General features: G+C 43.3%; 1 long non-coding RNA gene across 1 annotated transcript in view, besides 1 other annotated feature; it reads left to right on the top strand.

The window, feature by feature from the left end:
• The window catches only part of LOC105376360 (uncharacterized), a 432070-nt gene that overhangs the window by 5137 nt on the left and 401054 nt on the right, over positions 1-25879 (top strand). The gene's annotated exons all lie outside the window — the stretch shown is intronic.
• Positions 7570-8069: an enhancer, noted in NCBI's record as "H3K4me1 hESC enhancer chr10:3373593-3374092 (GRCh37/hg19 assembly coordinates)". NCBI's record gives its function as "activates a minimal SCP1, AML or CMV promoter by ChIP-STARR-seq in naive H9 embryonic stem cells {active_cell/tissue: H9 hESC(naive)}" and the evidence as "EXISTENCE:reporter gene assay evidence [ECO:0000049][PMID:30033119]".

Raw genomic sequence — 25879 nt, forward strand, 5'->3', positions numbered from 1 at the left:
AAATTACTTTGGAGATCATGTGTGCTATATTTATACACCTCATTAGTAATATTTAAAATCTACTCAAACTCTTTTACTTTGTGCCCCTCTACATTCCTTACAAATAGTTTCCCTGTTGTTCTTCCCACTTGAGTCTGGGCCAGTGAGCTTTGCGTCTCCTTTATGGTGTAGACACATCATTTTCATGTGATGAAATTCATTATGATTCATTAAATTTGATCATAAAAAGAGCTTGGTATCCCCCTGGGGCAAGTTCATTAAAAGAATCTCTTTGGTTCCATTATGAATCATTTTCCCTTATCCAAAGGCAGCTCCGAAGATTTACCGCGGGCAGGAGGCCCCGCAAGACAGATTCAGGAATCCAGCAGCCAAAAACTGAAGCCGGCACTGAAATTTCTGAATAAAAATATCCCAGTGGGAGAGGGAGGGCCATGTGGCTGTCTAGTGGCGCTCTGTGCTTGGTGCCAACTGCATCTCTGAGGACTGACTGGCACAGAAGGTAATTATATCATTGCACGTTGTGCAGGGAAGCGCTTGGTGGAGAATCTGTGTGAGCTGCTCATGGTGGATCTTCCCGGTAGGTCAGAGGAAATCTGTTCCATTATCCATTGAAAGATTTTACATGCATAGCTTCTGAAAGCCACGGCTTGGAAGATAAACATTGAGACCTAAGACATTGCCTTTATATCCCCTTTTGCTTCCACAATTAGAGTGTCTCCATAGGAGTAGGAGCTTCCATTCCCTTGGCCTCTCCGGGCAGCTTAACTGAGGTGGGACATCCTGGCTATCGGCAGGTGACTTGAGTAGCGATGGCAATCATGACAATACTATTCACCTAAAAGCCACATGCAAACATAACAGGAAGAGAGGGTTGGCTTGCAGAATACATTTCATAAGAGGGTTTCTTGGTGTCATTTGAATGCCTTTTCTGCAACCTGTCTCCACTCAAAAAATATCTGTAGTGCTGACCATATTTTAACACTTAGTGAAGAATGTGCCACTTGCTTCTTGCAAGAGAGTCACAGCTCTGAATCAGAAGGTTATTATTCATTCGATTTTGTAGCTCGGGGCTGCCAGCAGGATGGGACCGTGCTGCCAGGGGTCGTCATATGGCTAGGGAAGGAGGGTGGGAGATGCTGTGACAGCCCTACAGCTGAGAAGGCAGCGCCAGGCCCCAGGGTGTAAGCCTGAGACCGCCTCCAAGAAGAGCCAAAGAAGGGGCTGGAAAGAACAACTAACTGGAAATAGAAAGGAGGTGTGTGTGTGCCTCAGCAGCTGCTCTCTGGAGAATCTCATCTCATCTCCTGCTCCTGGGATCCAGCTAAATCTGCAGGTGGGCTTTGGGGCCCCTGCACATGCTCTACAAACCCTACATTTACACACACGCACACATTTATTTATTTATCAATTTTTATTTTAATTTTTCTGAGACAGGTTCTCACTCTGTCACCCAGGCTGAAGTGCAGGGTGCAATCACAGCTCACTGCAGCTTCAACCTCCCAGACTCAAGGGATCCTGCCACCTCAGCCTCCAGAGTAACTGGGACTATGAGCATGTGCCATCACGCCCGCCTAATTTATTTTTATTTTTTAATTTTTTTTTTAAGAAATGGAGTCTCCCTATGTTACCCAGGTTGGTCTTCAACTCCTGGGCTCAAGAGACACTCCTGCCTCAACCTCCCAAAGTGCTGGCATTATAGGCATGAGCCACCTTGCCTGGACCTGATATATGTGTTTTAAATAAACGTATTTGTTTCTTAACATTTTTAATCATTAAAAAACTTTAAGATTGCAAAATGAGAGGGGTTGGGGAAGAAGAGGAATAATTATCTTCGGTCCAATTAACTTTGATAGATGCTGTCACTATCATTCATTTGGCTGTTTGCATCTACTGCTTTTTAATGTGATTAAAAAATGTACTTTGTATTTTGAAACTGTAGCTACATGGGAGGAATAAGTTCTAGTGTTCTATAACACTGTAGGGTGAACATGGTCAACAATAATGTATATTTCTGAGAAACTAGAAAAGAAGATTTTGAATGTTATCACAAAGAAATGGTAAATGTTTTAGGTGATAAATATGCTAATTACCCTGGTTTGATCGTTATGCATTGTATGTTGCTCTGTAACCCATTAATACGCATCCTTATATATGTCAACTAAAACTAAAAAGAAAAAATACTTTGTATTTTGGAATAATTACAGAGTAACAGGAAGTTGTAAAAATAATTCATAGAGCCCCTTCACCCACCTCCCCCATGATGTCATCTTCTGTCACAAGGTCAAAGTTCAAGGTCAAAGTACAAGCTCAAAGCCAGGATGTGGATATTGGTACATAAATGTTAGCTGGATCACACAGACCTAATTCAGCGCTTACCAGTTTTTACATGCATTCGACCGCGTGTGTGTGTGTGTGTGTGTGTGTGTAATGTCTGGCAGTCTTATCCCATGCTGGATTCCCATAACCACCATCACAACCAAAATGCACACCTGTTCCAGCCCTACTAGAAACCCCTTGAGCTGTCCTTTCATATCTGCCTTCCAAGCCCCAGTCCCTGTCCCTGGGCAACTACAAATCTGTTCTCCATCTCTACTGTCATTTTGAGAATGTTTATAAATGGAATCACACAATATGGAACCTTCTGAGGTTGACATTTTTCACCAGGCCTGATGCCCTGGAGATCCATCTGGGTTGCAGCGTGGGTCACGAGTCTGTTCCTCTTTATTGCTAAAATAGCAGTTTGCTCTGTGGATGAACCATGGTTTGTAGAACCTTTCACTCACTGCAGGAAATTCATGTTGTTCCAGTTTTTTTTTGCTGTTACAAAGAAAGCTGCCTTAAGTATTCATGCACAGCTTTTCTGTGTGGGTTAGTTTTAATTTTCTGGCATCAATGCCCTGGAATACCCTTGCTGGGTTACATGGCAGGCACATGCCTGGAGTTGCAAGCAACTGCCAACCTGTTTTCCAGAATAGCTGCGCCATTTTCATTCCCAGCAGCCATGCATGAGTGATTTCATTTCTCCACATCCTCACAAGCACTGGGTGTTATGACCATCGTTTATTTTACATGTCCTGATAGGAGTGTCATGCTACTGCATTGTGCTTTTTAGTCACACACCGCAGTGGCTGATGCTGTTGGACATCTTTCCATGGGGCTATTCACCATCTGTGTCTCCCTTTCAGTGAAATGTTCCCTAAGTGGGTTGCTTGTTTTTTTAATGTTGAGATTTGTGAGTTCTTTTTAGATTCTAGATACAACGTCTTTGTCAGATATGAGGTCTGCAAATGATATCTTCCAATCTGTAGCTTGTCTTTTCATCCTGTTAACAGGGAATTTTAGAGCACAGAATTTTACATTTTGATGAAGCCTACTATCTTCTTTTTTCTTTTGGTTCATGTGTTTGGCGTCATGTCTCTGAACTCTTTGCCTGGACTTAGTTCCTGAAGATTGCCTTCTATTTTTTCTTCTAAAAGTTTTGCAGTTTTTATTTTATATTTATATTTGTAATCTATTTTTAAATAATGTTTTTACAGTATAACTTTCAGTCCAAGTTTTGTTTTTTGTTGTTGTTGTTGTTTTTTGCTTTTATCTTATATATGTAATAGCTCCAGCACCATTTAAAACATTTGTGTTAAAAGACACATACTATAAAATTTACCATGTCAAGCATTTTTTAACTGTGCAGTTCAGGGGCATTAATTACATTCACACTGTTGTGCAACCAGCACCACCATCCACCTCCAGAACTTTTTCATCTTTCCAAACTGAAGCTTGGTACCCATTAAACAATAATTCCCAATTTCCCATCCCCCCATTCTTTGGTAACCACATTTCTACTTTCTGTTGCTATGAATTTAACAAATCTAGATGCCTCATAGGAATAGAATCGTGTCATATTGTTCCTTTTGTGACTGGTTTATTTCATTTAGCGTAATGTCCTCAAGATTCACCCATGTTGTATAATGTGTCAGAATTTATTTCATTTTTAAGGCTGAATAGTATTTCCTTGTACATGTAGACCACATTTTGTTTATGCCAAAAAAAAACTGAAAGCAGGACCTTGAAGAGGTGTTTGCATACCCATGTTCATGGCAGTGTCATTCACAGTAGCCAAGAGGTGAAAGCCATCCCAATGTCTGCTATCACTTTTTATTTTTGGAAAAACTATTCTCCCTCCACTAAATTGCTTTTGCTCTTTTGACAAAAATCCATTTGGTATATTTGTGTTGTTCTATTTCTGGGGTTTCTGCTCTGTTCCCTTGGGCCATGTGTCTGTCCCTCCACCCATATCATAGTCTTGATTGTGGCCACTGCAGAATAAGTCTTGAGGTCAAGCAAAATGCGTCCTTCCATTTTTTTTCCCCAAAATTATTTGAATTGTTCCAGTTTTTTCATCTTTCCATGTAAACTTTGCTATAAACTCGTCATTGTCTACCAAGCCTTGTGCTGGGATTTTTATAAGAATTGAGGGGATCAATCTGGGGAGAAATGGCATCTTTCCCACATTAAACCTTCCAATCCTTGAACACAGCATGGGTTTTTTAATTCATTTAGATATTCTTTGACTTATAATAATGCGCTTTCTAAGATTATACACAGCTTTTTGTCTGTTTGTTTTTGTAAAGATAGGCTGAAATTCAGGAAATCCTCAGCAAGAGACAAAAAAAAAATGAAATTGTGTCAGTGATGTGTTGATGGCAGCTCATACACACTCACGAGGGCCAACTATGTGTATCTCCTCCCCGCCTTGAGTTCAGTGATGGCACCTTGGTAGGGGGAACTGGCAATAGTGGACAAATGGTGGACAAATGCCAAAGCCCACCATACAAGTGGACAAATTCCATGAAGCAGGCTGTCTTCCTTCCTTCTTGCCCTTCCCCTTCCCCTCCCCTCCCTTCCCCTCCCCTCCCTCCCTCCCTCCCTCCCTCCCTTCCTTCCTTCCTTCCTTCCTGCTTTCCTTCCTTCCATCCGTCTCTCACCCTTCTGTCTCCCTTCCCCTCTCTTTCTTTGAAGGGGGTTGTTAAACACCCACCTGCATACCCCTGACTATATCTAATTCATGGCTCTACTATGAAGAAGAGTGAGCCCATGGTGAGGGGCAGCATGAAGAGAGGTTGATTCATGGGCATAAATATATGCAGCTAAGGAAGGGCTAACACCTAGTGCTCCCTAGATCAGTAGGGTGACTATAGTTTACAATCATCTATTGTACATTTCAAAATTGTTAGAAGGTAATCATTTAAATGCTTCTAACATAAATAAAAGACAAACATTTAGGCTGCTGGATATTAATTACACTGATTTGATCTTTCCATGTGATATGAATGTATGTGCCCTGAAAATATGTGCATCTCTTATGTATCAATATAAACAATTAGCAAACAATAAATAAGAACAATCCCTTGTGTCTATGCCCTGGTTGTTTCTGGAGCTGGTGTTCCCGCTGTCAACACCCGTCTTCCTGGTCATCACATTTGCTTTCTTATCTAGCACTGAACGATGGATCTACCCATTTGTCAGAATAAAAATGTGGCTTGGAGTGCAAAAGAGGGAAAAATAAAATAAAAGTTCCAAACCAACCAACCAAACAAAAAACAAGGAATGTGTAAGAGACTGAATTTAGGCATATCCCTTTGGTGGAAAATCATGTGAGATTCACATGATGGATTAATTTAAATCAAATAGTCTGCCTAGCATTTAGCCAGTATTAAGTTGGGATTTCTTGTATTTGCCTTATATTTGCATTGCAAGTGGCAATTTGTTAAAAAAGAAAAAATAAAACAACGATTACAATTTGAAAAAAGACAAATCAGTTTCTAGTAAAGCTGTAGCCATGATTACCCATCCTCTCCCTCTTCAAATACAACCTTAACCATAGCCCTACAGATGGCCAGATGTGATCCTGTTGGCTAAAATGAGATCTTCGTATATTAACCTCTGTTGAGCTCTGTGGTCATTTAGGCTGCACATTTTTATTCCAGTGGGGAGTCTGGCAATGGAGAAAGGCTCACTGGAAAGCCTCCCTTGTTCAGGGAGAGAAGTTAAGCCACTCTCCTGGCTCCCTGGGCTGGAGCATGTGGGCCTGACAGGACTCACTAGGCCAGGTACCCCATGATTTGGGATCAGACCACCTGCATTTGAACCCAGGCTCTGATGCTCGCCCAGTCTTTGACCTCAATAAGTCTCTCTATTCTGTTTTATTAAGCTACTTTTTAGTATTATGACAATGATGCTATTATTCCAAAGTAGGTTGACAGTTTTTAAGACATTGGAAAAGACCAATAGAATACCCTGAACCCTTCCTTCAAGCATTCAGAGATAGCAACTCTTCATGTTTGAGTGTAAAACTTCCAGTCTTCTCTTTCTATGCCAGGATATAATTATTTAACTGCATTGTTTTCTCCTTTATTGCTGTTTTCCCCAGAAATATGAGCTTATATTTTTCAGTTAACTTCCTGTTGTGAATATTTTTATTTGTCATAAAATCATGTTTCTGTGAACCCTGGGAGATTCAGTAATAGTTGCAAATATGTGAAGTGATAGGCAAAAAACAATGAACACCTACTATCCATATTTCTGAGAATAAAATAACAAGAGCTGAGTTAAAACGTAATAGAAAAGGTGACCACAAGATTTTGGTAAATAATTCACTGAGGAGGCTGGGATTATGTTTAACACACAATAGGTATCTGGATTAAAATCCTTAAAAGCGAGAGCATACTAAACAGCTTCTGAGGAACTAGGAGGGTGCGGAATCTTTGGAAGTGTTTGTTAGGAGAGATAATTGATGATGACGGAAACCAGTCTGTCTCGGAGATTCCAATACAATTCTGCCTGGAGCGGGAGAGAGAACTAGGTGATCATTCAAGGCCTCCACCAAATCTGTGATTCTGTGATTTGTCTGAATAATCGATGATGTGAATTGCAGTTATTCCCTCCTCCAGGGCAGACAGTATGCATAAAGGCAGTTGTAAAGAAAACGGTGCTGCGGCTGCCCCAGTGAGTCATTTAGATGCTGGGCTGTTTCTGCTTGCTCTGCTGTGAGGTCAGTTTCATGTGCTTAAGCAACTTTGCTTCAGGTCACACCCTACGGGACACCCACGGCAGCCTGCCGCCTACTAATCATAGAGCCCTTCGTGTTCCTTTTTTGTCTTTTTCTTAACCAACAATGGGTCATTTAGCAGGACATTTATTTCAGTCCTAAGTTGTATTATCCCTGGTAATTTGCATATACCATTATTAAAGTGTGGCAGTCTTTTGTAATTATTGTCTTAATCTAGTGAAAAATAATATATCTGTATATCTGGAGAGAAGGCTGTTCTCTGGATGCAGCTGAGCACTTGCATGCACTCGATGAACGGGAATAGGACTGCATGAGGCTGACCTGGATTTGACAACCGCACCAGGACAAGGCCGCGTGCTGCCCTGAACAGTGGCCCTTGTGCTAAATACGAATCCTCTCTCTCCCACAGGCATAGCCCGTCACCTGCGTCTGGTTTTTGCTCCTCATTTTCTTCAATTTTCACTCTATTTATAGTTGAGAACCTTCCATTTCCCCCTGGTTGAAATACATTAGTTGCTATGGAAACTGCGATCCCCCCGGTGTGGATGGAGCTGAATGACACCTACAATTGCAGAGCACGGTTGGCGTTGCCAGGGCTGGGAAATGGGCGTCGTGGCTGGAGAGGGCACTGAAGGGCACAGATGAGAATAATGACAGCACACAGCACGACCGTCAGGAACCGACGCAGCACCACTGGGTCAGAAGTTGTGGAAGAAGCCATGGGTAACAGAAGCCCCCCATGCCCTACACCACACAGAGGGGCGGGTCCCATCAGAGGCCTAACCCCTGGAGGGCTCTCATTTTCAAAACATAAAAAATGGAGCTATAGCTGGTACTTGCAAAAAAAAAAAAAAAAAGATGCATTTTCATTTTGATAAATACTAGAATCATTCTATTTCGAATGAGTATTTTTGCCCTTCTGTATGGGGTATGATGTCCCTCTTCCCACGTATTTGAGCTCTTCATGACGTAAGAGAGAGTTTAGCACGCAGCTCTGAACTTCCCTCTTGCCTGCTCTTTCTTGGGAAACCGGGCTAGTCGGGAGAATGAACGGTCTGTGTGAGAGTGTCACCGAATTCAACGGGAAGCCAGCAGGTCTCCCTCTCCAGCGCGGCCCAGCAGGCCTCTCCCGACCCTTCAGCGCCAGCTCTCCGGTTTTCTCCAGGTTAGGTCCCTTCTGGAGCCGGCGTCGACCTTCTTTTTGCGTCCTAACCCAGCTCCTCCATCCCATGGTATCGTTTTCTGGTCTCAGTTCTTCTCCTTCACAGGTGGGTCCCGCAATCTTAACGCGGCGGGACAGCAAAACATGGACAAACCCTATCCAGCTGGCTCCCGCCTGGAAGCTACAGCTACGCCAAGGGAAGCCCTTCTTTTCTTTTCTTTTATTTCATTTTTTATTTTTTATTTTTATTTTTATTATTGAGAAGGAGTCTGGCTCTGTCGCCCAGGCTGGAATGCAGTGGCGCGATCTCGGCTCACTGCAAGCTCCCAGGTTCACGCCATTCTCCTGCCTCAGCCTCCTGAGTAGCTGGGACTACAGGTGCCGCCACCCCGCCCGGCTAAGGGAAGCCCTTCTTAGATGACCTCAATCCCCATACATTCCTTCTCCCTGGAGACGTCATTTCCACGTTCCAGCGCAGATAATCGCTCATGCACCATTTGTTCCTGTAAATTTAGCAATGCACAATCAACGCTCTCACTCACTGGTTTTCTCTTTCCTGTGGCGTTGGCTTTATAGACTATTTTTAGTCCTATTTCATATACACCTTGTCCCTCGGTATTTAGCACCGCCTCATGAAACCCTCCTACCCTTGACTCCTCCCTTGTCCTGTCTCAGATCTTGAGTCTACAATCTTCCTTCAGGAAGGCAGGCAAAGATGTGTGTTTTTAAATTCTTAATATGTCTCTACGTCCAAAAGAGACATTCGTTTCTGTTGATTCATTGGAGAGAGTTTCTTCTGGAATACCGGAAGCGCAGCACCCACCAGCTGTGCTGCTTAAGGTGAAGGGAGGCAGTAGAGGGGGCTGTGGGGAGACCCGGAACTTTACTCAGCACTTTCTCGGTGCAGAGAAGCATACAGTGCGCTTTACACACAATGACCCATTTAATGTTTGCAGCCAGGCTCTAAGAGAGGGGACTATTTTTGTTCCTATCCATAAATGGGGAAAAAGACCTGAGGGTTTTCCAGGAGCCAAGGGGAAGCTCCCCTTCTGAGCTCTAAAGGTTCACTGAAAATGAACTAACAATAGGCAGATTAACAGGAGGAAGAGCATACAAGTTTACTTAATGTGCCTAAGCACAGAGGAATCCCAGGAGAATGATTACCCAATAATCCAGCCAGGTCTACACACTTCTATACTCTTGGGATACAGTATAGGGGAAGAGAAGATGGGGGAAACTGTGATAATTTTTGAGGGGTCGTAAGCAGTTTTTAGAAGGAATGGCTGGACCCAGTGCTCAGACACTGGAGGATTCTCTTTGGAGACTGAATGGGCCCAGATGATGAACAATGGTTTGGAAGAAAGTTGAGCTGAGCTCCAGGTGTGGTGCTTAATTTTCAGTCTCTTCCTCTGTCGCATGAGAGTTAATCTTCTCTGGTTAATTAAATTTCTGGGAAAGGACTGAAGGCAATTGTGTTCCCCTTTGGGGGTCTAGTATCTAGGTAGATAAGGAAGCTTCAGAGAACGGCCTCGTCCTGTGCATAGGGAGAGACAGGCCTGAGAGGCAGGAGCTGGTGGGAGGGCAGAGAGACCCACGTCAAAGCACCGGGTTTGGGCTTCGTTCTCGTGGTCTGAGCACCAGGTTTGGGCTTTGTTCTCTGAGCCCCAGTCATTGTTTAACTCCTGCAAGGTGGGTGGCTGGGTCCGTCTGTCTGACTCCCACACTCATCTCTCCATGCCTGCCTGGCGTTCAGCTTCTTCCCGGAAGCTGCAGTCAGGTGGCTTCATCCACTTCTCCGCAGACACAAGAGGCTCCAGCTCCACACCTTTCCAGCGTCTCCCTCCTTCCCTAACAGGTCTTAGTCTGTTTTAATTTTGGCCTCTGTTTATTTCCTGAAATCTGGAAGTTAATTCCTAAGTTGACAGTGAGAAAACTCTGGTAAAAAGCAGCCCCAGGCAGCATCATTTCATTCTCGGCCATGGTTTCCCCGTTTTTTTTTTTTTTTTTTAAGATGGAGTTTCACTCTGTTGCTTAGGCTGGCATGCAGTGGCACGATCTCAGCTCACTGTAATCTCCGCCTCCTGAGTTCAAGTGATTCTGGTGCCTCAGCTTCCTGAGTAGCTGGCATTACAGATGTGAGCTACCACATCTGGTTACTTTTTGTAATTTTAGTAGACATGGGGTTTCACCATGTTGGCCAGGCTGGTCTCGAACTTCTGACCTCAAGTCATCCACCCACCTCGGCCTCCCAAAGTGCTGGGATTACAGGTGTGAGCCACTGTGCCCAGCCTCCCCTCTCTCTTCTAACTTCTTGCTTTATAGAGATCTTGTCAAGATAACAGGGTACTCTTTCAACATATATAAGAAAGAACGTTATATATATCTAATAAGTGAGAAAAATTCAGCCACAAAACCCGTACGTTCATGACTTGGCCATCCTGAATGAGGTGTTCTGCCATGTGGTTATCATTTTAGGTAGTGCCTGTCATTGGAGCAACTACATTACTAGCGGACAGTCCTGGAGATAAAAATAAAAAATACAAACCCTTACTTTGGTCAGTAGGGAAACGGCACATGGCGTGTCTGTCAGTCTGAATGAGAAGGCCTTCAGAGCAGACCTGAGATTCTGTCACTGAAGTGGGTGTGTACTGTGTCTTGGTACAAACACCAGCTCCGGTGGAGACGTAATGTGCGGCAATGTGGTTAAGAACAAGACTTATTATACAGTTTAATTTTGTAAGGAAGAGGGTAGACCTACATTGCTCTCTGGATAAAGGATAGACTTAGGCACTGATCAGAAACGGTCTCTGTTTACCAAAATTCCTTCTTTGCACACAGAGCTGTGTAGTGAAAATGCCCGTCCTACACAAATAATGTGTTATAGCAAAATGAGCCAGTTAACATGTCAGCTCAAATCAACCTAATTTGGGTTAAAAATTCTTCCTTTTCTGTTTTTTTTTCTTTTCCCCCCTCCCCCTCCTCAATTCTTCCTTTTCTAAAAGGATCTTGTTACTTCATAAAAATCAAATTGGCCCCACGTTAATTTATTTGGCCATCAGAACATGGAGACTTTTGCCAACATAGCTATAGAACCTCTGTTTTTGTTTGATTTTATGACAGGGATGGGGTCTCACTGTGATTACAGGTGTGAGCTGCCATGCCCAACCAAAATCTCTTCATAGATGCGAAGTTTGGGAAGCTGTGCCAGGTCCCAGATTCACCTCCAGTGTGACTCCGGGGTCGGGAGTAGGTCCCTTGAGAGCCCCAGTCACTGGACTTCACAGGCAGCTAAAATGCAGGAAGAGGTTGGGAAGTCAGGGCCACTGATCTGCTTCAGTAAAAAAAAAAAAAAAAATCAGAATTCTTAAGCTTACCACCACTTTTTGATAAGCAAAGGCAGAAAATGTTAATGAATAATTAAAAGGAATGCTTATCAGAGATCTTCCCAGCTTAGAAAATGGAAAGAATTATGCACGTAACAAAGCTGCATGTATTTTAACAAGGGCAGTAGAAACACAAGAACAGATGCATGCTAAGTCGGAAGAAGGACGATTCTAGAATTGTGCAAGACAGGCCTGCACTGCTGGGGACCCAGATTTGAGGAGGGCGGTCCCGGGGACCACACAGTCTTTGCAGATGCCTGGACCGAGGTCGACTCTGCATCTTATCTTCCCTAGGGGGGCCGCGGTGCCAGTCCTTAATTTGCTCATTGATAAAACATTTTCTAAGGTTAGTTCCTATATTATTTTAAAAAGTGACAGGACAGGGAATTGAGGCTAAGACAGTTGCTCCTCAATCAGCTTTTCTCGACAGCACAGCTGAGTGAGATAAAACACAGGGTTTGGACCTAAGATGAACTGGGTCTAAGTCCCCTGAACTATCGCTGAGGGGCTATCAGCTGCTCATGGAGGGAGTCAGTGACTCCCTCTCCTGGGTTTTGTGTCTCACAGGTGTCTGTGTGTGTGCTGGGGGCCGTCTCAATAATGTCTACTTCACTGGCATCGTGTAGAGATTAAACCCACTTACAAGGAAGTCCTAGCAGAGTCAATCGTTGACAGTAAGTGCTCAGTAAACCAGAGCTGTTTTCATTATCATTCTAATTTCCATAGCTCAGGAACATAAAGGAATAACACTGAATTCTAAGGACAAAGGTGTGGAGCCAGTGTAGAAAAATCACTGGGCCACCAAAGAAGCCCTAAATAATCATTTATTTCCAAGGACACTGGAGATAAAATACTCCAGAGTCTCTCAAACTTTTCCACCGCTGAGCAGGAGGCAGCGTGGAGCACAGCCGGCTTCAGGCAGGGACCTGGCCTCGGTACAGGGTCCTGGGCTTGGAGTCATGTTCCGCTTCCCGTATCTAATGCTTTTTGAACAAGGAGCTCCTGTCTTCACTTTGCTTTAAGCGCTCCGGATTACGTGGGCTGTACTTGCAGGGGAGAACATTGTGCTGACTCGGGATGAGACTGTGGCTTCTGGGACTCCCTGGCCCCTGGAATCTGGTTTTGAGAAGCATGGGCTCTAGCTTAGGGTGGCAGAGTTAGCAAATGAAAATACAGACGTTGCACAGCACGCACTTCTGCTGAAGTCACCATCCACCCTTCATCTGAAATTCAAATTCAGATGGGCATCACGCCTTTTCAGATAAAGAAACTAAGGCACTCAGGTGGCCGACTTGGTCAAAGCCCTGTGACCAGTAAGAGAAGGGACCACATTTGAATCTGGCTGTGCCGCCAAGACACCAGCTTTTTAATCTCAGTGACTGATAAGAGACTTTGCAAAGATGTCGGAGTTGGATAAAAGCTGACCCGGAAGCAGTAGCAGCCCCAGCCAGGTCATAAGTCCTGCAGGCCTCTGCTAGGGCCGACTTAACGATCCCCAATGAACTAAAGAGATAGGTGACACCTTTCGGTTATAATTGCTCCAGTTGGCTTTGTGAAGATGTCCTTGTATTTTGGAAGAAAACATATCCATGTTCAGGAAGAGTCATTCTCAGAATGATTTACTCAAGCAGAGCTTAGGTGGGGATTACTGAATGTAGCAGAAAGTGGAAGTAAATTCCTTTCGAAATACCTCAGGATCAGGAAAATTCAAACAAAGCATTTGGTTTGCCTTTTTGCTTCTGAGGCTGAAAACTGTGTATGTTTAAAATGAAAGGTAATCCATAAATTCCAGAGTCATTTGAACTTAACTCATCAATATGTTAGTTTGTCAGTGGATGTCCAAGTAAATATTTAGAGCAGCGGTGTCCAATCTTCTGGCTTCCCTGGGCCACACTGGAAGCAGAAGAATTGTCTCGGGCCACACATAAAATATGCAAACATTAACAATAGTTGATAACGCTAAAAAAAATTGCAAAGAATCTTATAATATTTTAAGAAAGTGTACCAATTTTTGCTGGTACACTTTCAAAACCATCCTGGCTTATATACAGCCCACAGGCTGCGGGTTGGACACACTTGGCTTAGAGCTTTTTGGCTAAAAACATACACACACATTTTTAAAAGATTGATTTTATGGTACCATTTTAAAAAAATTTCTGAGAGAACTACATACACATCTTTCCTTTGCGTCTTTCTGCTGAAGTGTTCAGGTGTGAGCCCACAAAAGTGCTGCTTTGAGGCCCCAGGTCTTCCAGGGTAGCCTTGAAGACAGGACACCTGCCCACATCTCCTGCTGTACAGGAGGCCATGGCATTCCCCAGTCCTCCACCTGTGGCTGGGTTTCCCAAATGTGGCTGTGGCTTTTCTTTCCTTTTGGGTCTTTGCTCATTCTACTTTTCTGATATACTTTCCAAGTTCAACCAAACTCAGGACTTAATTATCCAACACATGCAAAAATCCACCTCCTAACTGAGGTTGAGTTGAAATGTGAGTACTTTTGAAACCAGCTGAGCGGCATATTTCTAACAACGACTCTTGTAATTCACTTCATAGTCGAATATTTTTTCTGTAACTTTTTTTTTTGGCGGGGGTGGGGCGGCGGGTGGGGGTGGAGGGTGGCAAGCACAGAGTCTCTGTCACTCAGCATGGAGTCCAGGCTGGAGTGCAGTGGTGCGATCTCAGCTCACTGCAACCTCCGCCTACTGGGTTCAAGCAATTCTCCTGCCTCAGCCCCCCAAGGAGCTGGGATTACAAGCGCCCACCACCACACCCAGCTAATTTTTTGTCTTTTTAGTAGAGATGGGGTTTCACCAAGTGTTGGTCAGGCTGGTCTTGAACTCCTGACCTCAGGTGATCCACCCACCTTGGCCTCCCAAAGTGCTGGGATTAGAGGCATGAGCCACCTCATCTGACCTTTTTCTGTACACTTTTAAAGATGATCGAAACATTTAAAATAATTGTGTCTAATGGACAGATATAACAATGGGTTTTAATAATATTTTAGTTGAATGGGACAAATTTGTACTGAGTGTTTAAATATCTGTAAAAATGTGTAAATATTTAGAAATATTGATGTTTAATATTGAAAGAATATTAATTGTTTGACAGATTATAAGATGAATGAATTGAGCATTAAAAAATGTATCACCAATAGTGCTGGTCTCTCGGCTGTATCTGATAATTTCAGTTAACAAATAAGGCAAATGCATAGAAAATTGTTGTGGATTTGTCAGAAGATGGAAAGTGGCAGGTAGCTGAGTCTGAATTGGACCCAGCCTCACATGCAAGTGTTGGTATGACAGGTTTCTGAAACCATTTACTGTGGAAAGTTGTTGTGTCAGGGAGATTGACAAATGTTCTATAAGATAGAGTGTAGGGGTCAAGTTAGTTTGGAAATGCTGACTGCTACATCATCTCTTAGGGACACACAAGGCAATTTGGCATATTAAAGATTGTGAGAAGTCCTGTCTGAGCACTGGCCAATAGAAACACAAGGTAAATCACAAGTACCACTAAAATCTCCTCATAACGACACTGATAAAAGTAAAAAGGGAACAGATAAAATCAATTTTAATGGTGTATTTAACCCAGTGCATTCAAAATCTTATCACTTTACTATGTAACCAGTAGGAACACATCAATGAGGCATTTTTGACTCCTTTTTTCACATCAAGACTAAGAAATCCAGTGTCCGTTTTTGCATTTAATGAGCATCTTTTTTTAAAGCAATTTTTTTGTAGAGATGAGCTTTCAGTCTGTTGCTCAGGCTGGCCTTGGCCACCCAAAGAGCTGAGATTACAGGTATGAGCCACTGACCCTGGCCTTATGAGCATCTTAATCCGAACCCGTATGATTCACAAGACACCCTGGCTCAGTGGCTGTGTGTGGCCAGGGTTACGTGTGGGGTGGGACAAGTTTTCTTGAAGAGCTCTGTTCAACACCATTAACCTCCACCATGTCACAGATGCATCTGACTTTAGAAAGCTCCCCCATTCCCAGCACAAATGCATTTTTGATTTGGAACACCTGGTGACACCTCATCTCACCAGACCTGACGATACACGGAGCCCATTTTCGGGAAGGTCACTGCGTGTCAGGGATATGTGTGAAGTGGACACTGCTCTTCCAGTCTGCCTGCTGCCTTCCTGTGTAGCCCTTTTGCTCTTTAAACAATAGCTACTTTGCTAAGAAACTCGGTGCTGTCCAGCCGCCTCCAGGCATCCCGAGGGTCTGGAAATGAGGTCCCTGCTCACCCCAGTTCCTGGCTGTGTGATCACTGTCTACAACAAGATGAATGTCTCGCTGTTCTCATGCTATTTAGTATTTTATTTATTTTTCTCAGACAGAAATGAGTAAGCCCATAAGAGGATGTGCTCACCAGGAAGCGAGGAAGCCACATGCACAGCACACGGAGCTGCTGCTTCCCTAGCTGGGAGGCCTGGTGCAGGGTCTTGCCATAGCCAAGGGCTCTGGGCGGAGGAAGGTGGAGAGATACCACGCTCAGCTCCCTGTGCAGTTCGCAATTCACGAGACACCCTAAACACAACGGTCTCCGGTCTAAATGGAATTAACTCAGTCTCACTCACAAACATCAGGGAGGGAGCCACTTCACAAACAAATCCAGACTATCTGAGAACTGGCTGCTGAATGTCCGAAGAAAGCTGCATGTGATGGGCTTCTCTGGAAATTATCTGAGGTTTCCTTAGTTGAATGGGACAAATTTGTACTGAGTGTTTAAATATCTGTAAAAATGTGTAAATATTTTTATGGTCCTTGAGGTCGACTGAATGCAAGGAGGCTGCACAACCAGCAGATGTGAGGAATGAAGCCGCCGAGGAAACTGATTTCAGTCCTGATGCAGTTTCTAAGACGGTGTGGGGAGGCGGGGAGGGGAATGCTGAATAATAAGATTACTCAGAGCTACTAACGATCTTGATTCAGTAATTTTCTGCTTAAAAAGGCACTTCGACCTTTTCCAAGCCCAGATGTATGCGTCTTAATGGAAGGTCATTCCCATGCACAGCAAATGCAGCCTAGATTTATAAGAGAAACTGATAGATTCCTCAGCCGAGTGAGAGGGATGACACTTCTCCTATTTATTGGGTAAATGATCTATTTTATATGGCACTATATGTACATGCACAAATGCATAAATTACGCAAAACAGTCTCGGCATAGTTAATGAACATGCCTGAAGGCTAATAAAAAAGTGCTTAACTAGTTCTTTTATTTTCTCCTTTATGCATAACAGCATTTTACTTAATAGCATAAATCAAACTGAAGGACCATCTGTATTAAAACTTAAATAACTTTTTGGGGCTGTGTGTAGGCATAAAATAAAGTGTCTAGGGTAGAAAGCATGTTCAGATCGCCCTGAGATGAAAGGCTTACCTGCAATCTGTATTTCTTTTTCAGGATTCCTTCTTACTTAAGATGAGTGTAATATTAAAGAATATTCAATTATTTAGCGGTTTTGCTTTTTCTTCATGGTCAGTGTCTGTGTGGTTTATCAACGCTGTAAACACACATTCACGCTGAGAGATGATGTGAGCGTTAGACACCCAGGGTTGAACTACAGCTGGGCCAGTAACTAGTGGTGCTATCTAGCCGAAGTCCATGAGTGCATCTCAGCATCATCTCTACAATGGGGACGCCAGCGTGGCCACTCTCCATTTGGCAAGAATCCAGTGAGATAGATGCAAACCACCAGCACCAGGCTGACAACTGGTCAACCATGCAAATGCATGCCAGCTGCAAACCATGGTGAGCAGCAATGCAGAACCTGAATTGTATGAGCAAGAAGTTCGAGCGCCTATAGGCTGACTACCATAAGGGCCTCATCGAAAATATTACTTATAACAAATAGCCAGTGAGCACATGAAAAGACATTCAGTATCACTAATCATTAGAAACTTACACATTGAAACTACTGGGAGATAGATACTACTTCTCACGTATTAGGCTATAGAATTAGGTTGGCTACTATTTAAAAAAAAAAAACCACCACCACCAAAACAACAAGTGGTGGTGAGGATTCAGAGAAATTGGAATCATGTTGAGAAATGGGTGCGTTATTGGTGGGAATGTGAAACGGTGCAGCCTCTGTGTCAAAGGGCAGTTAAAAAACTCAGTGTAGAATTACTGGATGATCCAGTCATCCCACTTCTGGGTAGGTACCCAACAGCACAGAAAGCAGGGTCAGGAACGGACTTTTGTGCACCTATGTTCATAGCAGCGTTATTCACGATAGCCAAAAGCTGGAACCAACTCAAGGTCCCATGGTTGCCAGGGGCTGCAGTGGCGGAAATGGGGAGTTAGCGTTTAATGGGGACAGAGTTTCAATTTGGGATGATGCAAAAGTAATGGAGCCGGATGGTGGTTATGTTTGCAAAACAGTGTGAATACACTTAATGCCACTTAACTGTACATCTAGCGGTGGTTAAGACTGTACCTTTTATGTTGTATATATTTTGCCACAATTTAACAACAATGTAAAGTATGGTGAAGTTTTTTCGTGTTTCAAAATACTGAGTAGTGGAAAGCTTTTGTGTTTTCTCCGTGGCAGCCTCCTTCTTCATTCACATGTTTATTCATTCATTCTTCTGGTCATAAAGACTGTCCTGAGCTCCTGTCATGCGGCAGATACTACAACAGATGTGAGGTCCAGAAATAAACGCAGTGCAGAGTCTGATCTTCCCAGTCTAGAGTCTAGAAACGAAAATAATCCCAGGAATAGATTAGTGCAGGATCACACGGCCAGTGCAATTCATAGAAGGGGCGTTTGTAAGATACTGAAAAGGTAAAAACAGAGAAACACAGGGATGAGAATAGAAAAAGTGACAGAAGAAAGAGAAATACATTTTATGTAAACTCAATAGGTGACCATAGGCATCCATTTTTTTCCTGCTATAAAAAATAACTGGATTTATGTTATCACTTCTGCCATTTGATTTAAATTTTCTAATAATAAAGGTTCCCTAGATTGCTAAGGATACTAAAGGTGGTGTAACCTACTCCTTACAGTGTTTTGCACATGGGGAAACTGAGGCCCATAAAGTCAAAAGGCAGAGTAAATGTTCACACAATTAAATTAGTGACAGACATGTGTCTATAATCCAGGTTTTCAGAAACTGACAATTTCCTTATGTTACAGGGCTTTTTCCAAGCTGGCCAGACACCTGTTCCCAGTGACCCAATACTTACTGATATGTGATCTCATATTTATGGAGTGCTATCAATGAGCTTTTCAAATTATAGTTATGTCATTAAGACCTGCTTTTTATTAGGGGGTTAGGCACATTTTCTTACTTCTGAAAGGGCAAAGGACTTCATTCTGGTTAGGAAAAGACAGGCAAGGTCTGCGCTCCTGACATGAAGTTCAGACCCACTTACTGGCATGTAAATCTGCCCATTTGTTCATTATGCATCCATTTAACAAGCAGTCAACCCATACGTTGTTGACTATTAAATGCAGCTGGGATGTAGTAATGAAAGGGATGGGCGTAATTTTGCCCTTAATAACCTTACAATCTGGTGAAAGTAAATTCTACCTTTCTAATTGGCTACTTGAACATAGGAATTGGAAGAGGAAGCAAGCCAGCTGCCATCAGGAAAACAACAAATGTGCCCAGAGAGAGTTAATGCATTTATAAAAACCAAAATCACACACACACACACACACACACACACACACACAAACCCCAAATCTACTCACAAGTGCTGCCATGACGCCTAGGAACAGAAACAGGATTTGGAAAGAGCTTTTAAAGGATTCATTATGAAAAAAATATATTTAAAAGAAATTTTGTTCAATATTACTAATTGTACTTTATCTTATAACACTTATGGGGAGCACTTGGAAACTGTTGGCTTTAGGGCAAGCACAGTGGCTCCTGTCCTGTCATCTCAGCACGTTGGAAGGGCAATGTAGGAGGATTGCTTGAAGTCAGTTCAAGAGTAGCCTAGACAATATAGCAACACCTCATCTCTAAAAAAAAATAAAAATAAAAAATTAGCTAGGCATGGTGGTGCACACCTGTAATCCCAGCTACTAGGAGGCAGAGGCAGGAACATTTCTTAAGCCTGGGAATTTCAGGCGGCAGTAAGCTTGATCACACCACTGCACTACAGCATGGGTGATGGAGTGAGACTCTGTCCCTAAAAATATAAAAATGAACTGCTTTATTTAGCCTTTAACTTTTTATATAAAAAGTAATATTTTATTTTAATATTTTTAAGAAATAATAAGGTAGAATGTATTGTATTGACACAATGGCAATTTCCAGGCCTTAAATAATTTTGGTTAATAAATAATTTCTGGGCTGGGCAAGGTGGCTCACGCCTGTAATCCCAGCACTTTGGGAGGCCGAGGCAGGCGGTCACGAGGTCAGGAGATCGAGACCATCCTGGCTAACACGGTGAAACCCCGTCTCTACTAAAAGTATAAAAAATCAGCCGGGCGTGGTGGCGGGCGCCTGTAGTCCCAGCTACTCGGGAGGCTGAGGCAGGAGAATGGCGTGAACCTGGGAGGCGGAGCCTGCAGTGAGCCGAGATCGTGCCACTGCACTCCAGCCTGGGCGACAGAGCGAGACTCCGTCTCAAAAACAAAATAAAACAAAAAAGGAATTTCTGGGTCTTGCTGATCCTCAACACACCCTGGAAGAGCTTTCTGTTTTGTTTCGTGTTTTTCACTGACGGATCCTGCTCCTCACGCCCTGGATCCTCTGAAGAAGAATCTTGGGGCTGGAGCACACAATGGTCACAGAGGAGATGGAAACAGAAACCGAGGAGGAAAAAATAAAATGAAAGAGAAGGAAACTCGGTGAGGGAGTCCGCTGAAAATCGTCTCAGAAGCTATTGGTGTGGATCACAAGGCCATCAGCACATGTGGCTGTTACCCGGGTGTTAGCTGTGGACAGTATGGGAGGAGAGACCCTCTTCAATGCCAGTGCACTGACTCTGGGAGGCAGAGGACTCTGTCTGCAGGCAGGAAACTTTCATGCTGGCATTTTGACTCATGTTTTAGTAAATTGCAACTTTCTTCCATTTACGTTGGTGTTAAGGTAATGCCAGCAGTGGGGAGAGACCAGCATAAATTAGACAAAGCTAGGATTTCTCAGGATTTTAAAAAGAGCCAGATTGAAAGAAAATAGCTACTTTGGGCAACTTTTTCCACCAGATCCAATCTTCACATATAAGGAACACCATCATTTTACCATGTTACATTTTTAAAATTTTAACATTGGCTGTTTTGTTATTCCTGTTGGAACTCTTAAGATAATAAAGTGAAGCATAAATAAAGCTACAGATATGGACAGAGACCGTCTTCTTGACCAAACCCAAGGCAGTGTCTGCACTTTCTTCTGGACTGGACCCCGACCTTGGGCTCTGTCCTTGACCGGCTTAGTCCAGTTTTAGCAAGAATCCTGCTGGGTCAGTTTAGCAAAAATTCTCGACTCTTGATAGCTGATCAGATTTCTCATCACTCATCCTGGATATCTTACCACCCTGGGCTGCTTGCAGCATGAATCCTGCTGAGACGGTCTAGCAAGAATCCCCGTCCCCATGATGTACCATCCACTGACCCCACCCTGCTCCGTGGCTGTAAATGTCCACGTGTCCTTGTTTTACCTGTTGTTGATCCCCAGCTCTCTCTCCCTACTGCAAACCCCATTGGGAAGTCCTTTCTCAAAATGCCTTCCTTCCTGTCTTTAACAAGGGTCAGAATAATTTTTTCTTTGATATTACTCAAGTACCATTTCACACCCGGTCAAGAATCAAAAGAGTTCCTAATATATGACCTAGCAACTTTTAACTTTCTATAAGTTCTCTTTTCTTTTTAGAGCCTGAAAGATTAAACATTCATCGTGGTATTATGTGATGGGAGCTGCAGGGAAGTAGAAAGATGATGAGTTTCATTTGGGGCAAATTGAATTTGAGTTTCCAGCAGCATAGCATCCGGGAATATTCAGCAGGCGTTTGAAAATTGGCGTCTAATCCAAATGAGAGATTAGTGCTAGAGGTAAAGATTGGCAACCTGTCTTCCCAGGGACAAGAACTGAAGCTCCAGCCATGATCCAGCCTGCCTGTGGGGAGGGTGGTGTCCATGTCTCCAGAGACTACAGGACATCCCGGGGTGGGTGAAATCGCAGCCAGGGAGAATGCACACCCTGAGGAGTGTGAAGCTCACAGCAAGAGGGTGTTAGGAAGGACGGGGGGAACTGAGCTTGTGTTAGGTGTTTTGGGGGTGATTGAAGAAAGTGGGGACTCTGTGGACTGGGTGCTGTCAGGAAGCTGGGCTCATTCCCGGATGGGGGGGGTCTTCATCTGTCTTATCTCAAAGTCGAGCAGACTATAGCAAGACCAGGCTATAATTGGTAAAGAAATAGCGGTCGCTCCCTCTCATTAGCCAGGATAATGGGATGGTGGGTCATTTTCATGAGTCATACAATGTGCATATTTTGTTTGTGTTTAGAGATCATTACAGAAAGGTCTTGTCTTTTTCTTGATCTATCCTGGTCTCAGAGTGGTCTTGCCTGAGGTTGATGTTGTATGAAACTCTTTGTATCCATGGAGACAGCATCAGGGCTCACCTGATGGTCCAGCCTAGGTCCTGGAGGTCATGACTGCTTCTCTCTCTCTGGAAGAAGGAGAGAGCATCTTGAGCACTGCACCCTCCCTTACGACCCAGCTGTTCAGAGAATGGCAAAAAAAGTGAAAGTAGGAGGAAAACCAGAGAATGCAACATCGACTCTTCTCACTTTGCATTTAAAAAAATGCACGCGGCCAGGTGCAGTGGCTCACACCTGTAATTCCAGCACTTTGGGAGGCTGAGGTGGGCGGATCACTTGAGGTCAGGAGTTTGGACAAGTCTGGCCAACATGGTGAAACCCCATCTCTACCAAAAATACAAAAAAAATTAGCAAGGTGTGGTGGCAGGTGCTTGTAATTCCAGCTACCCGGGAGGCTGAGGCAGGAGAATCACTTGTAGCTGGGAGGCGGAGGTTGCAGTGAGCTGAGGTTGCACCATTGCACTCTAGCCTGGGCAAGAGTAAAACTCTGTCTCAAAAAAAAAAAAAAAAAGAAAATTGCATGCACCTGTGTGGAGACACCACAAATAAGACATCATAGCACAGTGGAGTTAGCTGGAATTTCCATCTAGTAAAACACATGACATCCCTGACTTGCAGCTCGTGCAGAAAACTCTGCTAAATTCATTTAATTTAATTCACTGGAGGAGGTTTGCAGTCGAGTGGGGTATCCCTAAGGAATTCTCCAGTTTGTTAGTGATTTGATCTGTTACCAAAATTCTCGGGTTTTTTTTTTAAAGAAGTTGCAAATTGTCATAAAACCATCATGTCTGTCTTTTGATGTCATTTCAATTTGTCTATAAGTGACAGATGACAGATGTCTCTTGATCCATTCTGACCCAATGGGTTCTTGTTAAAATTAGATTTTACCATTCTTGCCCCTTGCTTGGACTCACAAGGGACTCTGTGAATGCTGCTGGATAAATGTGCCTCCACGCTTTCTAGAACTCTCTCCAGGCTTGGGCTTCTTGGCCCAGATTTTTAAAGTTCCTGCAAGCACCATGGTTACTGCTCCTTTCTTCCGAGGCCGATTCCACACATTAGCATGGGGTGGGAAGCCGGCTCCCAAGCCCACAGTGCACACGGTTTCCTCTTTTGAATGCAGGCTGCTTTTCGTCTTGACCACATTCTCCCACTGTATGGCCCATTCTACCCCACGGCCCCATCTTGGCACCACAGGGATGCCAGTGTGAGTCTCGTGGCCCACTCATCGGGCGCAGTGCCCTGGGATGCTCCTTGTCACCATGCACAGTGGGACATGTGAGAAACCCCAACTCTGCATCCTCCTTCCCTCTCCTGGGAATCTCCAGGACCCACTGGGACAACACAGCGAGATGAAAGTTCGGAGAGAGCGACCTGGCACACAGCAACCCACCACCTTCTTGGCTGTGTCCCATTTGCCTTTCCAGGCCATTTTTTCCCCTGGGAAAAGCCCTGAGGAGGCATGTGTGATGTGTGGGTGTTTTCAGATCGGGACTTTAAACCTACGTCTTTGATGGCTCCATTAGTTATGCTCATGTTGATCCCTCATTTGAAGTGTGAAGGCCACCCTGCACTGTCAGCACGGGACTGCCACAATGCAGCTATTGTCGCCAGCATTCTCTAGACCAACAGGGCCTCGAGCTGCTGGTAGAATGCCAGCAACGACACTGGAAAGTACCTCCTCTCATCTGGGCACCTAAGAGACAGGAGGGATAAAGTTACAAGCAGATAGGAGCCATCCTCCATCGGTATGATGACTTATTTGCAGATGAGGAATCAAATCTGAGCAGCTTTGGTGCCCAGAACACTGCTGCCATTTAAACAAGGTGCTTTCATGCAGCTCTTGTTGCTCTGAGCCCTTGAGCGCTGTGCATTTTCCCTCCCCACTAACCCAGACGCAGCCAGTGTGGCATGTACGCCTGCTTTCTGCCCGGACTGAATCACCTTATTTGTCAACAGCTGACACTGTTCATACAGGATTTACACATATCACTGGAAATGTCTGCATGCTGCTTAAGTGCATGCCAATTGGTTAAGTGTGACATTGTGGCAATATGTTTTAGAACTTTTGTTTGAGCTCTTCTAGAGCAAATTGGCCCTTAAGTGAAAACATACGGACAGGAGAGATCCCAGGTGCTTCAAATTAGCAGAGATTTGGCTAATTCCATGGATTTTGGTATATTCGACATAAGCAAAGTTCATTAAATCTGGGGCCAACTTTGTACCTGATGTTAGCTGACTAATCCATCTTAAGAATTCCCCAAGCCCACAACAAAATATTCATTGATAATCTTCAGATGTGTCTGCAACCCTTCCCTTCCCCTAGGTGGTTCTGACTTTACTTAAAGTTGCATGATTATTTGTGGGCTGGTAAGTTTACCTGTCTCCATGGTTAGTATAGCGGTGAGTACCCCCCACCCCGTCTAAGTTTACCTGTCTTCAAATCTTTCCATTGGGAGGTTCAAATGTAAATTCAGCAATGGGGAAAAAAACTGTCCATTTTAGATATTGAGAACATACATCTATGTTCCTGTGAATGAATATTAACAAAGATACACGATCCCGACTAATGTAGCTGGGTGCTCATTTTATGACATAACATGTTCCTGGAAGTATATGAATGGAGGCCTGCTATGGATGTTCAACCTTATTAAGTGGGAACCTTGCAATTCACGGGCAACAGTGACAATCATCAGACAAACCAAGCTGTAAGACAAAAGCTAGCGGAGTCAGAGCCACAGCAGCACGTGCATCAGTGACTCAAAGCTCCCCCTGCATTTCACTCCATAACTGAGTTTACCTTTTCATCATATTATACTCACAGTGACATACTCCTTCTGTGGCACCGCTGCTTGAGAGTTCCAATTGATGCCTATTCTAAAGGAGATTGCTTGCTATTTAAAGTGGGGGAACCCAGCTTCATGTGGTATTGGAAGTCTACTCTTAATAGTTGAACCCAGTGAAATATAAAATCATACACATTAAGATTTCAGAACACAGAAAAATGCTTCTTAAATTAGAAATATATTCTATAAATGTAGTATTATACTCTTTGCTTTCCATTTTGCTGGTAGGTTCTGCTTTAGTAATACAAATTTTAAAATAGGATTTAGGTAAAGAATCTAAATAAATATAATTATGCACTGCCTGTAACAGTTTTTTTTTTTTTCTTAAGCAATGGAAGAGAATTGCTTTGTCAAGACAGTGCCAGGCAAGAAAATTGTCACAGAAAACCAAAGCAAAAAATAATCTAAGTGAAAAAAATATATAAATATATTCTTTATAGCTATGGTAAAAGAATCACACTGTTACTTTATGAAAATTCTTTAGAACAAGTTTCATGGAAATTTAATTTTCTAAATTATGGAAACAACTGTAGTACATTAACTGAACAATAATAGAATTTCATATCACCACCCACAAGGATTCTGGATTACTAGAATAAATTAGTGGGTTTTTTTAATCAGAAAGAAAATGTTATGATTATTTTAAAAATATCTATGTCATACTGTAAGGAACCGGCATTTTAAACCTTATGTCTTGTAACTTTATTTCTCTTAGGGCTGAAGCTCAGGATTTTCATTATAAGTCAACTGTCTGGAAGAAAAAAAGGAATGCGGTGCTCCTTGAATTCCATAACTCTTACCTGCTTTTATTATCTTCAATGATCTGAGAAAAAAAAACCCACAAAATCTTC

The sequence above is a fragment of the Homo sapiens genome, chromosome 10, assembly GCF_000001405.40.
Source record: "Homo sapiens chromosome 10, GRCh38.p14 Primary Assembly".
NCBI classification, from domain to species: Eukaryota; Metazoa; Chordata; class Mammalia; order Primates; family Hominidae; genus Homo; species Homo sapiens.